General features: G+C 44.7%; 1 protein-coding gene across 1 annotated transcript in view; it reads left to right on the top strand.

Annotated features, from left to right (window-relative positions):
- The window catches only part of C17orf67 (chromosome 17 open reading frame 67), a 42,008-nt gene that overhangs the window by 16,495 nt on the left and 11,999 nt on the right, over positions 1 to 13,514 (top strand). The window contains exons 5-6 of the mRNA NM_001085430.4: positions 1,416 to 1,670; positions 2,457 to 2,557. Coding sequence (NP_001078899.2) covers positions 1,616 to 1,670; positions 2,457 to 2,557 — 156 coding nt within the window. The 5' untranslated portion in view covers positions 1,416 to 1,615. The remainder of the gene's footprint in view (positions 1 to 1,415; positions 1,671 to 2,456; positions 2,558 to 13,514) is intronic.

Below are 13,514 nucleotides of genomic sequence, written 5' to 3'. Positions count from 1 at the left end.
GAGACAACTTTGCTAACATTGCATGATCTTTTTTTTCTTGTTTACAATCTGCTCAAAATATCTTTATGTTGACTGTGTGGGCAGCACATTCAGGTTTAATATCAGTTACACATTAGCATAAATTTGGAGAAATACACATAGGGTATTGTTTTCTTTTGAGCTGGCAAAGTGACCACAGAAACATCAGATCATCTCTCTGAATACAGAATTTTATCCAAATAAATGTCACATGCTTTCCAGACATATTTTAATCATGTATTGAATTTCTTAGGCTGAGAGCAGTGTCTCATGCCTGTAATCCCAGCACTTTGGGAGGCTGAGGCAGGAGGATCACTTGAGCCCAGGAGTTTGAAACCAACCTGGTCAAAATAGTGAGACCCTGTCTCTACAAAATAAAAAAATAAAAAAGTTAATTGAGTGTTGTGGTGCGTGCCTGTAGTCCCAGCTACTCGGGAGGCTGAGGTGGAAGGATCGCTTGAGTCTGGGAGTTAGAGGCTGCAGTGAGCCTCTGCACACCAGCCTGAAGTGAGACCCAGAGTGAGACCCCCATCTCAAAACCAAACCAAACCAAACCAAGCCAAACCAAACCAAAACAAAACAAGAAACTTTCTTCATGTGATATTTATAGATGATTTGAATTTGAAATGACTTCAGCTTCTTAAACTTTTGTTGTCCTTATAAAAATACCCTTGAATCTGGAGCATGGCTGGTTCCAGTCTTATGACAGCATGTTGCGTGAGGCCCTGTAAAAGATGAGGAGTTGTCCCTGAGGTTATGGGGCTTACTGGGAAGAGCACATGATCTAGGTTTGAAGACAGAAGACGTAGGCTCTACCTTGGCATCCATAATGTGTGAACTTGAACTTGATTTCACATCTTTGAATCTCACTTTTCTTACTGTAAGATGGAAGTGGACGATGAATAGTACTAGCTGCCATGAAGGTCATAGCTTTCCCCTCATCCTTTATTGCACCCCACAAGGTAGGTGCTCTTATCTCCTTTTGACAGGGGAGGAAACTGAAGTTCAGAAAGGGTAAGTCACTTACCTAAGGCTACATTGCTAGAAAAAATTGAAGCTAGGATTTGAACTCTGTTTTTCTGTCTCTAAAGTCAGCTGAAAATTGTTTTTCCCCACTCATCATGCCCCTTGCTAATTTCCCTGCCTACCTCTGAGATTATTGGGAAGATCAAATTAGACTGGTGAATGGGCTTTAGAAAAATGTCCTAAAAGATACAAATGTGTAATAGATCATGAATTCTCAATGAAACAGGAGCATAAATGGAAGCTCCAGAGAAACACTCACAAACATCTGTCTGGTGCTTATCTGTCTGTTTAAATGAAGTGAATATCACATGTTGCTTTTTCAGATTCAAGCTCTGAAAGTCATATTACAGAGGAACAATTTCCTTCCTCAGGATGAAAATTTACAGGAATTCGGAGGAAAATATTTCAGTGGTCATTACTAAAACGCTCAGAGTCAGATACATTCAGCATCATACCGTAAGTCCCGTTAGTCAAAGCATAAACAAGCGCAGGGCCTGGCATGGCTTCCTTCAAGTTGGCTGACTCAGTCTGGGAGGATTCACTCAGCAAGAGGCAGAGGAACCAAGGCAGGATGAAGACATTGCCTGTGCTCGTGCTGTCTCTTACCTTACTGACTGTCTTCTCAGGTGGGCACTGACTCCAAAAACAGCCTATTTCTATGCTGACATGATAAATAATAGTCTATTTGATATTTAATTTTTTAATTTTAAATAATATATAGTGTATATAGATATTTCAATGCTCTTTCTTTTCTTATTTTTCCATAAGAGTAGGCTTCCAGAATTTTTATCATTAAAGATGTTATATATTTTTTAAAAATCTTTAAATGTATTTGAGCACTAATTCTCAAAAATGCTGATAAATCTTCAGCTTCTAATAGCTTATTTTAGAGTTTATATGAGATCACCAAAATTTGATATATTTTTATGATGATAATATCTTTTAGAATTTGCAAGTAATTATCAAAGCACTTTTATACTATCTTCTTTGAGGGGTTGTGATGATCAAGTTTAACATAATCTTATTATCACTGGGCATCTTCCAGTAATGACTTTAAACTTGATTTAGTGTAGTGAGGATTAAAAAAAACTTCCATGAAAGCAAACCTAAGACACACAGACCAGTGAACTGAAGATTCATTAAATTAATACCCACTTTCAAAGAGATGGACCATTGCAATCAGTAAATATGTTTAGGTTGTGCAGCTTTTGCTCTGAGTAATCATGTTAGAAACAATTCAAAATTCCTTCCTGAGCCCTCTGGAATGCTGCATCCTTTGGGACAGGTCCCCGGGAAAGAACTTTCATGTTTTAACCAAAATTGAACTTGCAAATCTTTTGCCTTGGACTGTTGAGATGGCTCATGAACTCCTGAGCCTGAGTGTCCTTAAGGCACCTTCCCGACTTTTCCAGAGACCTCCCCGATTTTGACAGAGAAGCAGGCCAAACAGCTCCTAAGATCTCGGCGACAGGATAGACCAAGCAAACCCGGATTCCCCGATGAGCCAATGCGGGTGAGTGCTTTGCTCTGGCAGTTTTAAAGAAAATGTGATCATTTGAATGCCATTCACTATGAAACTAGGTGTTGGTCCCAGCATGGGCTGCTAGTTAGGGGTTTGGTTAGAGTTTCAGGTAGAAGATAGCTGCAATCTCAATCTTTTACCTATGCATTTTCTCCTTTGGAGGTGCCAGCCCGACTCACCTGTTATGAACAGGGTAACTTAAAATAGAAAATAATGAGGCCAATGGTGGGAGTTCTAGAATCTGGAGAGGGCTGCTGAATGTCACCCCTGTCCTGCTTGCTGGGGAGCTGTTCCCTTTAGCCAACGCTAACCCCATCTCCTGCCTCTTCCCTTGGGCCCCGGAGCAGGCTGGACCAGCATCCTTGGTCAATGATGGTCTGTCCAGGCAGGGAGAATCTCTGCCCCAGCTGCCTGAGGGGTTCTGCTCTGATCTCATCCCTCTGATTTTGGTCTCTGGCCTTACTTCTGCCCTGTGGGGTCATGATATCCACCTGTCTAGTCTTTCTGAACCAGGCTCCCTCTGTGAGTAGATGTTACTAGACCCTGCTATGCTGGCCCCGGACCCAATTCAGGCCTGGCTTGGTTCCTCCTGTTGCTAAAATGATACTGACTTTGGTGGCATTTTAGCCCCACCCAGTGAAGGGAAGTAGCAGTGACCCAGCAAAGTTAGAATGTCTGGGAAGCCTGTCTGTCAGGCTGGTCTCCCATCCTGGCCCCTTCATCTGGGCACGATGCTTATCCTGTTTTCCCTGAATCTCCATGTTGAGGCTCAGAAGGAGCTGCAGTAGCATTTACCTTCATTCACTGCAAAATCTCGTGCATAATTAGATTATTTCATTTAAAGGCTCTTATTAAGATATAGTATTGCACAGTGACGAAGAGTGCTGACTTTGGGGTCAGACTGGGTTTGAATCTCCCTGTTTACTAACTGGGTAAGTTTGGGGAAGTTTCTTCACATTTCTGCAGCTCAGTACTTTCATCTATAAAATGGGGATAATAAATACTATTGCTGATATTACTATAATATTATTATTATAAATAATAATGTAAAATAATTATTTTATGATGATAAAACAAAGTACTTTTTAAGAAAGCACTTAGAAAGTGCTCAGCAAATGGTAAGTACTCCTCTGAGTATTAAGTACCTGGTACCTGCTAGGTGCCGGGGCTGTAGGTTTCTGCTCAAAGTCTGTGGTGGAGACAGAAGTAAGCAAATGGCTGCTATGCAGTATGATTTAAGAACAGATGACTTCAGGCTCTTAGGGATAGATGTGGCTTTTAATTTTTTTTTTTTTGTAGAATAAGAGGTATCTTGGGTTTTATCTTGTATCTAGTAGAGAACAACTGAAGGATTTTTCAAGTTGGGGAGTACAGATCTGGGTGTTAGAGAGTTTGAGACAATGAGAGAAGGGGCCCATGATTGAAGTCTGGGATCACCAACACTCAGAGGTGGGCAGGGGAAGAGGAACCCTGAAAGGGCTGAGAAGGAATGCAGAGAGATAGAGAAGCCAAGAGAGTGGGGGTGGCAGAGCAAGGCGGGGAGGCATAGGAGGGGCTGGGGTGAAGGAAGGGCAGCATGTGCACAACTGTGATGGGGAGGAGGATGCCTGGAGGGAGGGATCCTGTTGGCGGCTGGCGGGTTGGGGGTGGGGGCTCTGGCTGGCCCCCTGTGCTTTTGGCATGATGCCTGGAGCGGCCATTCTGCAGCTCTTCCTCAGGGACCCGGCAGGGGCTGGGGGAGCTGGTTGAAGAGTCCTCAAAGCAGTGGCTCCTGCTCAAGGTGCTCGAGAGGCAGCTCTAATGACTCCCACATCTGCCCCCTGACATTTTCTGTGCCAGCATCTGCACCTGGCTCTTTTGAACTCTGTCTGTGGAATAACAGTCTTTGTCCTAACTGAGGCATTGTAGATGTGGGTGAACAGGTGGGTTTGAATTGCTGCAGCCCGTTGTTGCAACTGTTGTTGCCAGGCTAGACTCTGGCCCTAAAACCCTGTTTTGTGTGGTCCTTCCCCTGCTCAAAAACTTCTGAAAGCTTCTCCTCTGTTTGCTTTTTCCCACTTGTGGTCATCACCTCCCTTAATCCTTGACAGCCCTCTGCTTGCTTCCAACTTTGCAATTTTACTGAATATCTGGCTTTTTCTGGTTTGTTTTGCTCATCTTTTATAGGCTTGACCACCACCTGCTCCTCTTAACTGCCTCGAACCTACCTGATTAGTTTCCATGTAACTCCTTCTTGCCTCAGAACCTATTGCTGAGCCACCATCCCATCCTCCATGTCCCTCTCAGAGACACTTCATCCAATGTCCAGAATCCTCAGGCATTCAGTCCAGTTTGGAAAAGTGGTCATATGTTTTACAATTGAAATGTGAAACAAACATGCAGTCAATTATTGGGTGGCTAGTCTACACCAGTAGTTCTCATCCATAGGTGATTATGCCCCCTCATCCCCAGGGACATTTGACAATATCTGAAGACATTTTTGGTGGTTACACCTGTGTGGGGCATTGCTTTTGGCACCCAGTGGGTACAGACCAGGGATGCTGCTAAACACCCTACACAGGGCACAGGGCAGCCTCCACCACCCTCTGGCCCAAAATGTCAGTAGTGCCAAAGGAGAGGAACCAAGTCTACACATTGCCAAGTAAACTTTTTCTTGTTTACTCTCTGTCACGCTGTGTGTGTCTCTCTCTGTCTCTCTCTATAATTGCACTCACTTGAACACACACAGAATTGGTTGAATTAACAAATAGTTTCTGGTATCGTATTTTTTCTAGAAATGTGTTTCTTAACTTTGGTTACATTCTGGAACCACCTGGGGAATTTAAATTCCGATGCCTGGGTCCCACTCCCAGAGGGGTGGCCTGGGGTGGGACCTGGGTATGGGGGATGGGGCCAAAGCCCCAGTGATGCCAACCTGCAGCCGAGGCTGAGAACCACTGGGCTAGGCCATCTGGGAGAAATCAGCCACGTGTGTACCAGCTCCTGTGGTCTAGTTGGGAACATAAAAGCATTTAGAAAGCTGTTAAATGTTGAACTGGGTGGTATGGAGAGTATCTTAGTTGTTTAGACAAAAAGAGAGAGTGAGAGGGTCAAGTGGTGCGTGCTGATCAAGATGTGCACTTAATTAGATTTTATATTGACCATGCCCTACTAAGCACCAGGGACTGAGGATGAAAGATAAACCAGACATTCTTCCTTACTCAAGGTGCCCATTGTGTGGAGGTGGAGCCAGAGTGCCCCAGCCTGATTTGGGCTCACTAACGAGGTTATCTGGTACAATGGACTGCGGCTCTGCAAGAAGAGAGTCTCGAGCCCCAGCCTGATTTGGGCTCACTAACGAGGTTATCTGGTACAATGGACTGCGGCTCTGCAAGAAGAGAGTCTCGAGCTCCAACTGGAAGGAAAGGGGAGGCTGGGAAGGCTTCCCAGAGGAGGTGCCCACCCAGCTGTGGCTTGAAGGATGACCAGGAGTTCTCAGGCAGGGCAGGGGGTAGGGATGAGGCAGGAAGAATATTCCACCCAGTGCATTTCCAGTCCATATTCTGCCGCTAACTAGTTGTGGACTTTGGGTAAGTCACTTCCTCTTTTGGAAGCCTAGTTTTTTCATCTATAAAATGCAGAGTTTGGCTGGAATCTGGCCTAGATTCCAGAATGTCTAATTCCAGGTCTCATATTGTAGGGCTCTGGATAGAACCTTGGGGCTGACACAGGTTTCCTGGTGCCAGTCTGCAATGTGACAGAAGAGCCAGAGGCAGCAGGATACCAACCCAAGCGAGGAGTCAGGCAGTTTATTCTGAGGCCCCTGGAGGGGTATCCCTAGAAACCACAGGCCTCCTCACCTCATGCTGGCCCTGCGGCTGGGAGTACTCCACATCCTCGACTTACCATTTGACCCACTCACGCCTCTTGGGTCTCCTTGTTGACTTCTTCTTTTATGGATTTACTGAAAGCAAAATTAATAATGCCAGTCAGTGGCATGTAAAAAGAGGTAATTTACTGCATTTAACTGTGACTGTCAAAATGATCCTGGCCCTGCACTCCCAGTTGGAGCATAAGAGGCAGTGGCCTCAGGTTTGTCCTTGGGTGGTGAGGAGCCGATAAGCCTGGACCTCTGGCCAGGGGAGGCCAGAGGCTGGCATTAGAGCTGCCATACGGGCCCACATCTTCATAGCCTGGGAAGGAGGGAGTTCAGAGGCTAAGGCCTTTGCCTCCTGGGAGCCAGCCCTTCTGGCTCTTTGCCTTTTGCCAAGACCTCCTCACCCTCCCTGTTTCTGAGTGTAGGCCAAGAACAGCTGCGCACAGATGTCCCTTTGCTTGGGAAGAGGGTGGGATGGATGCACCATGCTGTGAATTTGGCTGCCAGTATTGTGTATGTGTGTATGTGTGTGTGAATGTGTGTGAGGGGTGTGTGTATGAGGGTATGTATGAGGGTGTGTGTGAGGGGTGTGTGTGAGGGGTTTGTGCATGTGAGGGGTTTGTGTGTGTGAGGGATGTGTGAGGGGTGTGTGTGTGAGGGTGTGTGTATTCGAATGTGAGAATTGTATGAGGGGTATGTGTGTGAGGAGTATGTGAAGGTGTGTGAGGGTGCATGAGGAGTGTGGGAGAGCGATGCATGTGTGTGAGGATGTATGTGAGGGGTGTGATGGTGTGTGTGAGAGTGTGTGTGTGAAGGGTGTGTTCAAGGAGTGTGTGTGAGGTGGGGGTGTGAGGGGTGTGCGTGAGGGGTCTGTGCAAGGAGTGTGAGGGTGTGTGTCAGAAGTGTGAGGGGTGTGTGAGGGTGTGTGTCAGAAGTGTGAGGGGTGTGTGAGGGGTGTGTGTGAGGGATGCATGTGTGAGGGTGTATGAGGGATGTCTGGGGTGTGTGTGTGAAGGGTCTGTGCAAGGATTGTGTGTGAGGTGAGTGAGGAGTATGTGTGAGGAGTATGTGTGAGGGGTGTGTGAGGGTGTGTGTAAGGGTGTGTGTAAGGGGTGTGTGTGAGAGGTGTGTGAAGGTGCAGGTGTGTGTGAGGGTGTATGTGTAAGGGGTGTGTGAGTGTGTGAGGGTGTATGTGTAAGGGGTGTGTGAGGGGTCTGTGTATGAGGTGTGTGTGTAGAGGGGTGTGTGTGAGGGTGTATGTGTGTAGAGGGGTGTGAGGGTGTATGTGTGAGGAGTGTGTGAATGTGTGTAATAGGTGTGTGTGAGGGTCTGTGTGTGAGCAGTCTGTGAGGGGTCTGTGTGTGAGGGTGTGTGTGTGGGTGTGTGTGCGCGTGAGGGTTGTGTGTGAGGGGTGTGTGTGAGGGGTGTGTGTGAGGCTGTGTATGTGTGAGGGTGTGTGTGAGGGGTGTACGTGAGGGTGTATGTGTGAGGGGTGTGTGAGGGTTCGTGTGTGTGTGTGTTTTGAAAAGGCCTTACTGAGTATTTTTTCAGAAGGTCTGAGTTCCAGCCCCCTCTTCTACTTTCGCCTTGACTTGCGGACCTGGGTTTTGTGGAATGATGGCAGATGGCATCGCCAGGTTGTTGTGAGGCTGGGTTGGAAGGTACTTGGATGCCACAGCAGAGTTGGGTTTCTGTACACAGTAGGGAGCTGTGCAGGGATTTCAAGCAGGGGAATGATGTGATTAGATCTTGTTTCCAGGGGCCCTTTAGAGGTTCAGGACACAGCCTCTTAAATGCTTGCCTTTAGATGCTGTCATACCTGGGAAATAGGAAGTGACGTTTTGGATGCGCTATTGCACCTTCTTGCCATGGTACCCAGGAGACAAACAAGTGGACTTGGGCAAATGAGTAGAGTTAGTGATCATTGGAGAATGCATGTGCCCTTGAGAACAGAGCCACATACCCTCACACTCACCCCTCCACACTAAATCACCGAGAGATGACTGGTCAGGTTATTTTATTTTGCTTCTCCATGTTAAGGGACTGTGCAAAAGAAAACACTTCCAGAGAGGGAAGAGGCCATTGATGAGGGTAAACAAATGGTGCTTTAGGGGAGGTGTTAAGAATTCAAAATGAAAACAAGTATGAAGATTTGCAGAAGTCTCTCCTCATGAAGATCTACTGAGCCATGTTTATACACTTAACACTTGGCTTAAATATTGGCAGAGGTTGGCTTCTGTGGATTTATAGGCTTTTTGAAAACAGGTTGAGACAAGCTGTGCCCGTGCACACAAAGGGCTAGACTGTTTGACATAGATCCTGCTGATTCACTGCAACAAGCTGTTCTTTTCTGACTTGGTGGTGGGAAGGACAAAGTGCTTTTGAGAAGATTGCTGGGTAACCCTGTACTGTAGGGAGGGCCAGTATTCAACCCAGAGGAGCACGGACATCTTGCGGGGAACCTAGATGAAGGAAGGCAAGGCCCAGAGGGGATGGAGAGGGAGATCAGAGGGAGACAGATGGCTCTGGGTAAGAGAGAAGGAGGGATTTTGAGTGTATGGAGGCAGCATATGGAGGTAGCGTATGAAGAGAAAGGTGGGAAGGTAGAACCCAAGGAGGGCAACCCACTGAAATTCCCAGCAGCAGGAATAACGGATACATTTATTTTATGGTAACTCTGGACACTGAGTTTAAATTTGCTTTCTGCTCTGTGCTGTTATTACCCACTGCTACCCCCAAACCTTAGGACAAGTCCGCTACATACAGAAACTTTGTGTTAGTAGTTCCTTGAGGGAATGGTGGATGGCAGGGATGTGTTGTATGGGGTGGTGGGGGCTGACAAGAGAGCAAGGGAATGGCTAGAATGTGGAAGTGGCAGGGGTAGAGAAATTGGTTATGAGAATATTCAGAATAAACTTGACCCCACATTTTCAGAGATTTTGGAGAGTAGGATTCTAGACTTCATAGGAATGGGATGAACCCTCTCCGAAGGCTGGAACTAATTTGCTTGGAGACATCCCTTTTGGAGGCATGTAGGTTTCAGCTGAATTGACTTTCTACTATTTATTTATTTATTTATTTATTTATTTATTTATTTATTATTTATTTATTTTTGAGACAGGGTCTCACTGTGTTGCCCAGGCTGGAGTGCAGTGGTGCGATCATGGCTCACTGGAGTCTGGGCCTCCTGGGCTCAAGCGATCCTCTTGACTTTCTACTTTAGACAAAGTGGCCCCATCATGTTAGAGAGCTCATGGTATAATGAAGGCTCAAGATCCTGACAGAGAAAAAACCTCTGTTTGGGGAGAAATTAATGAAGATCAGGCTGTGCGAAAAGAAGGGCTAGGTTTGTGTTTAGAGGGAAGAAGGTGGAAAAATATTCTGAGCTTTCCTTGAAGGTTTCCTTAGTGATGAATGTGCTTATGTTGATTTTCAGGATTGTGGTCTAAACTCTTGCTGTTCAAAATATGATCCCCAGCTGGGCTGCACGGGCCTTACCTGGGATCCCGTCAGACATGCAGACCCAGGCTCCTCTCCATACTTCCCAAAGGCAAATCTGTGCCTCCCTAACCCCCAGGTGATCCCTGTTCACCTTCAAGTCAAGAAGTGCTGTCTTGGAGAACTGCAAAGGTGGTCCATCTCTGCTCCTGGCATCCTAGGACTGGGAACCAGTACACGTTAGTTTTGTTTTGACACAATTGATCTCTCTTCCTTCCTTCTGGGCACTCTGCTCACTTGGTTTCCACTTTCCCAGCATGCCTCGCCCAGGCTTCTCATTCCACTTGGTGGCTCCCGCTGCTAGGTTTCCTTTACTGGATTCTTGGCCTCTGACAGCTGTTTAAATGTCAGGAGGTCCCAGGGCTCTGCCCTCCATGTGGCTTTAAAGCTCACCTCCCTGCTGACGGCACACACTTCTATCTCCAGCCTGACCTCTTCCTGGTCATTTACATGACTGTCTACTCCACACCACTGTTTGTACTGGAATATTTAACAAGCATTTCAGATCTAACAGCCCCAAACAAAATACACTGTTTTACCCTCATAATGGCTGCTGCCTTAGCGTTCCACATTGGGCTAAGGGGACAACCTCCAAATCCAGAACCTGACTACTTCTCGCCCTCCACTGCCACCTCCACCACAATTATCTGTAGAGTGGACTAAGCAATAATCTCTTAATGGTCTCCCTACTTCCTGTCTTGCTGTCAATGGAGCAGTCAGAGTCATTTCTTAAAGTGTAAACAAGATCCTGACCCTCTCCTGCTCAAAACCTGCCAATGACTTCCTGTCTTACTCTGAATAAAATTCACAGTCCTGGTCAGGTGGGGTGGCATGCACCTGTAGTTCCAGCTACTCAGGAGAGGCTGAGGTGGGAGATCGATTGAGCCCAGGAGTTCAAGGCTGAAGTGAGCTATGATTGCTGCACTCCAACCTGGGTAACAGTAAAATTCTGCCTTCCTAGGACTCACACCCAAAACAATACTATATGCAGTATTTATATAGGTACATGGATATGCATGTAAATTTCTAAAAGAAGATCTAGAGAGGTAATCAGTTGACGTTTAACTGTATCATCTCATTTAGGAGACTAGGATTAAAGGTGGTGATTTGATGTTTGAATTGTATACTAGAGTAATTACTTGTATAATTAAAAATATTTAAACCTTTCACACGTACTATTGAAAAATTGGAAACCAAGAAAGAGTCAAAAGAATAAAAGAAAATCAACTGTAGGCCGGGTGCGGTGGCTCACGCCTGCAATCCCAGCACTTTGGGAGGCTGAGGCGGCCGGATCATGAGGTCAGGAGATCGAGACCATCCTGGCTAACATAGTGAAACCCCGTCTCTATTAAAAATACAAAAAATTAGCCAGGTGTGGTGGTGGGTACCTGTAGTCCCAGCTACTCGGGAGGCTGAGGCAGGGGAATGGCGTGAACCTGGGAGGCGGAGCTTGCAGTGAGCCAAGATCACACCACTGCACTCCAGCCTGGACGACAGAGCGAGACTCTGTCTCAAAAAAAAAAAAAAAAAAAAAGGAAAATCAACTGTAGTCCTGTCCCTTCTCCCCAAAGACAGGCATTTAAAAAATGTATTTCTTTTTAGTCTTTGTATATATTTAAAAAAAGTATCTACAATTTTCTATCCTGTTTTTTCCCTTAATATTAACATACACATGTCCTCATATTATTATAATCTATTTGTAACCATGAATTATCCTCTTTTGTTAGATAGTTGGATCATTTCCAATATCTTTCTATTATAAACAACACTCAGAACATTTTTGTGCATAAAGTACTTTTAATATTTTAAGTTATTTTCTATGGGTATATTCCGAGAAAATGAATTACTAGGTCCAAGAATCAGAATATTTTTAAAGCTTTTAGTATACATTATTGAATTGCTTTCCAAAAGACTTTAAACAATTCATGTTATTTTTAATATTCAATGTCACTGTCTTCTGAGAGAGTATTGTAGTAGAGGTTTTAAGGTAGAGATATCATGGGAACATGATTATGGTATCTTGAATTGGAGACCAGTGGGCTGTTGCTGGGGCAGGAGGAGTGGGTGCAGGGAGGGAGGAATAGGGATAAAAAATGACGTGTAGGGTTTTGTATAGGCAACTTAGTGCCATTCATTGGCAGTGGAAATCCATGAGTAGAAACAATGTATGTGGGATGATGGTGTGTTGCAAGTTCTCCTCCCATGGCACCTGCTTTTGTAGTTGTATCTTCTGCTCTTGTTTACCTGGTTAACTCTTATTCATCCCCAAAAACTCACCTTAAATGATGTCGTTTTTGAGAGGCCTTTCTGGTGCCTCCCCCTAGTAAATCAGAACGTCCCGCTAGCATAGCAATTGCAGCGCAAGGTTGCTATTTTTGACTCTTTTATGTCTGTCTACTAGACTGTTCTAAATTACTTGAGGAGATGGACTAGTTGTTTTACTTCTGGGTCCCCACCACCAAGCACCGTACAGTATTGGCATTTACTAAATGATTGTTACTTCTTTCCATTCCTTCCTTTGCTTCTCTCCAGGGTAGAAATTTTGTGGGATATAGCTCTGCTGTAAAACCTGGAGGTTATTCCAAATAAATATTTTCTATCGCCTCACTTAGACTCATTAAATTTCTCTTAATCTACTCAAATTTTAGGAAAGAGGTTGTTTGCCAATTGCTCGGGTGAGCTGTGGAAATTCTTTAAAAAGATGAATGTCTTGAAGCTTGAATAAAGCTTGAATGTCTTCAAGCTTAAATTATTTCTTTTGTGATTATATTTGTAAGTGCTTGTGAAACCTGGGAATACACTTTTCTTGGAAGTGTTCCATTTTGGCCTGTGATCCTTTAAGGAGTGTTCTTGTTGGGCAAATATAAATCATTTTAGCTTTATTGTAAGTAGTCTTTGTAAAATATGCTTTCATGTTTAGCTCTTTGACAAATGTATGTAGTAACTCCATTACCCTTTTGTTCCCCATTACCTCAAAGGCCAGTTTGGAGTGACCGAGGTGTAAATTGCCCACAGCACTGTTCTGCCTTTCTTTAGGACGGAGCCTTCAGTATTCCAGTGCAGTTAAGTTCTGAGCCACCATTCTATATATAGGATTACCTTGCTTGTACTAATGAGCAAAATAATTTTTCCAAATGCTGATGGATCTTTAATTCTGCAAAAATGTCACAGGAAGTATTTTGCCTTCTTGGAAAAAGGTCCTGCCTTGATAGAATAACTGTCCACTTTATGATTCTCAGCATAGGTCAAGTTCTGGTGGGTATTTAAGTTCATTATCACACCACTCCAGAGCCATAATAAAGGACTACTTTTAATTTCTGCTCTAATTACTGAGAAATAATTTACTTAAATCATTATAGTTGGCATTTGACATGGAACACAGATACTGGTTTTTGTTTTGCTTTGATTTACACCCCCCCACTTGGAGAAAGGAATCTGAAGAAATTAAAACTCATTTTCCATATACCCCTTCTTCCTTGGTCCAGGAACATTTGAGATTATCCTTAATGTTGGGCCATTTCTAACTCAGCCAGTGCAATTGTTGAATTTGTGGTTTTCAGCAGATTTGCAATTTGCCTTTTGATTTGACTAATG

The sequence above is a fragment of the Homo sapiens genome, chromosome 17 (genome assembly GCF_000001405.40).
Source record: "Homo sapiens chromosome 17, GRCh38.p14 Primary Assembly".
NCBI classification, from domain to species: domain Eukaryota; kingdom Metazoa; phylum Chordata; class Mammalia; order Primates; family Hominidae; genus Homo; species Homo sapiens.
This window is presented reverse-complemented; position numbering and strand designations above follow the sequence as displayed.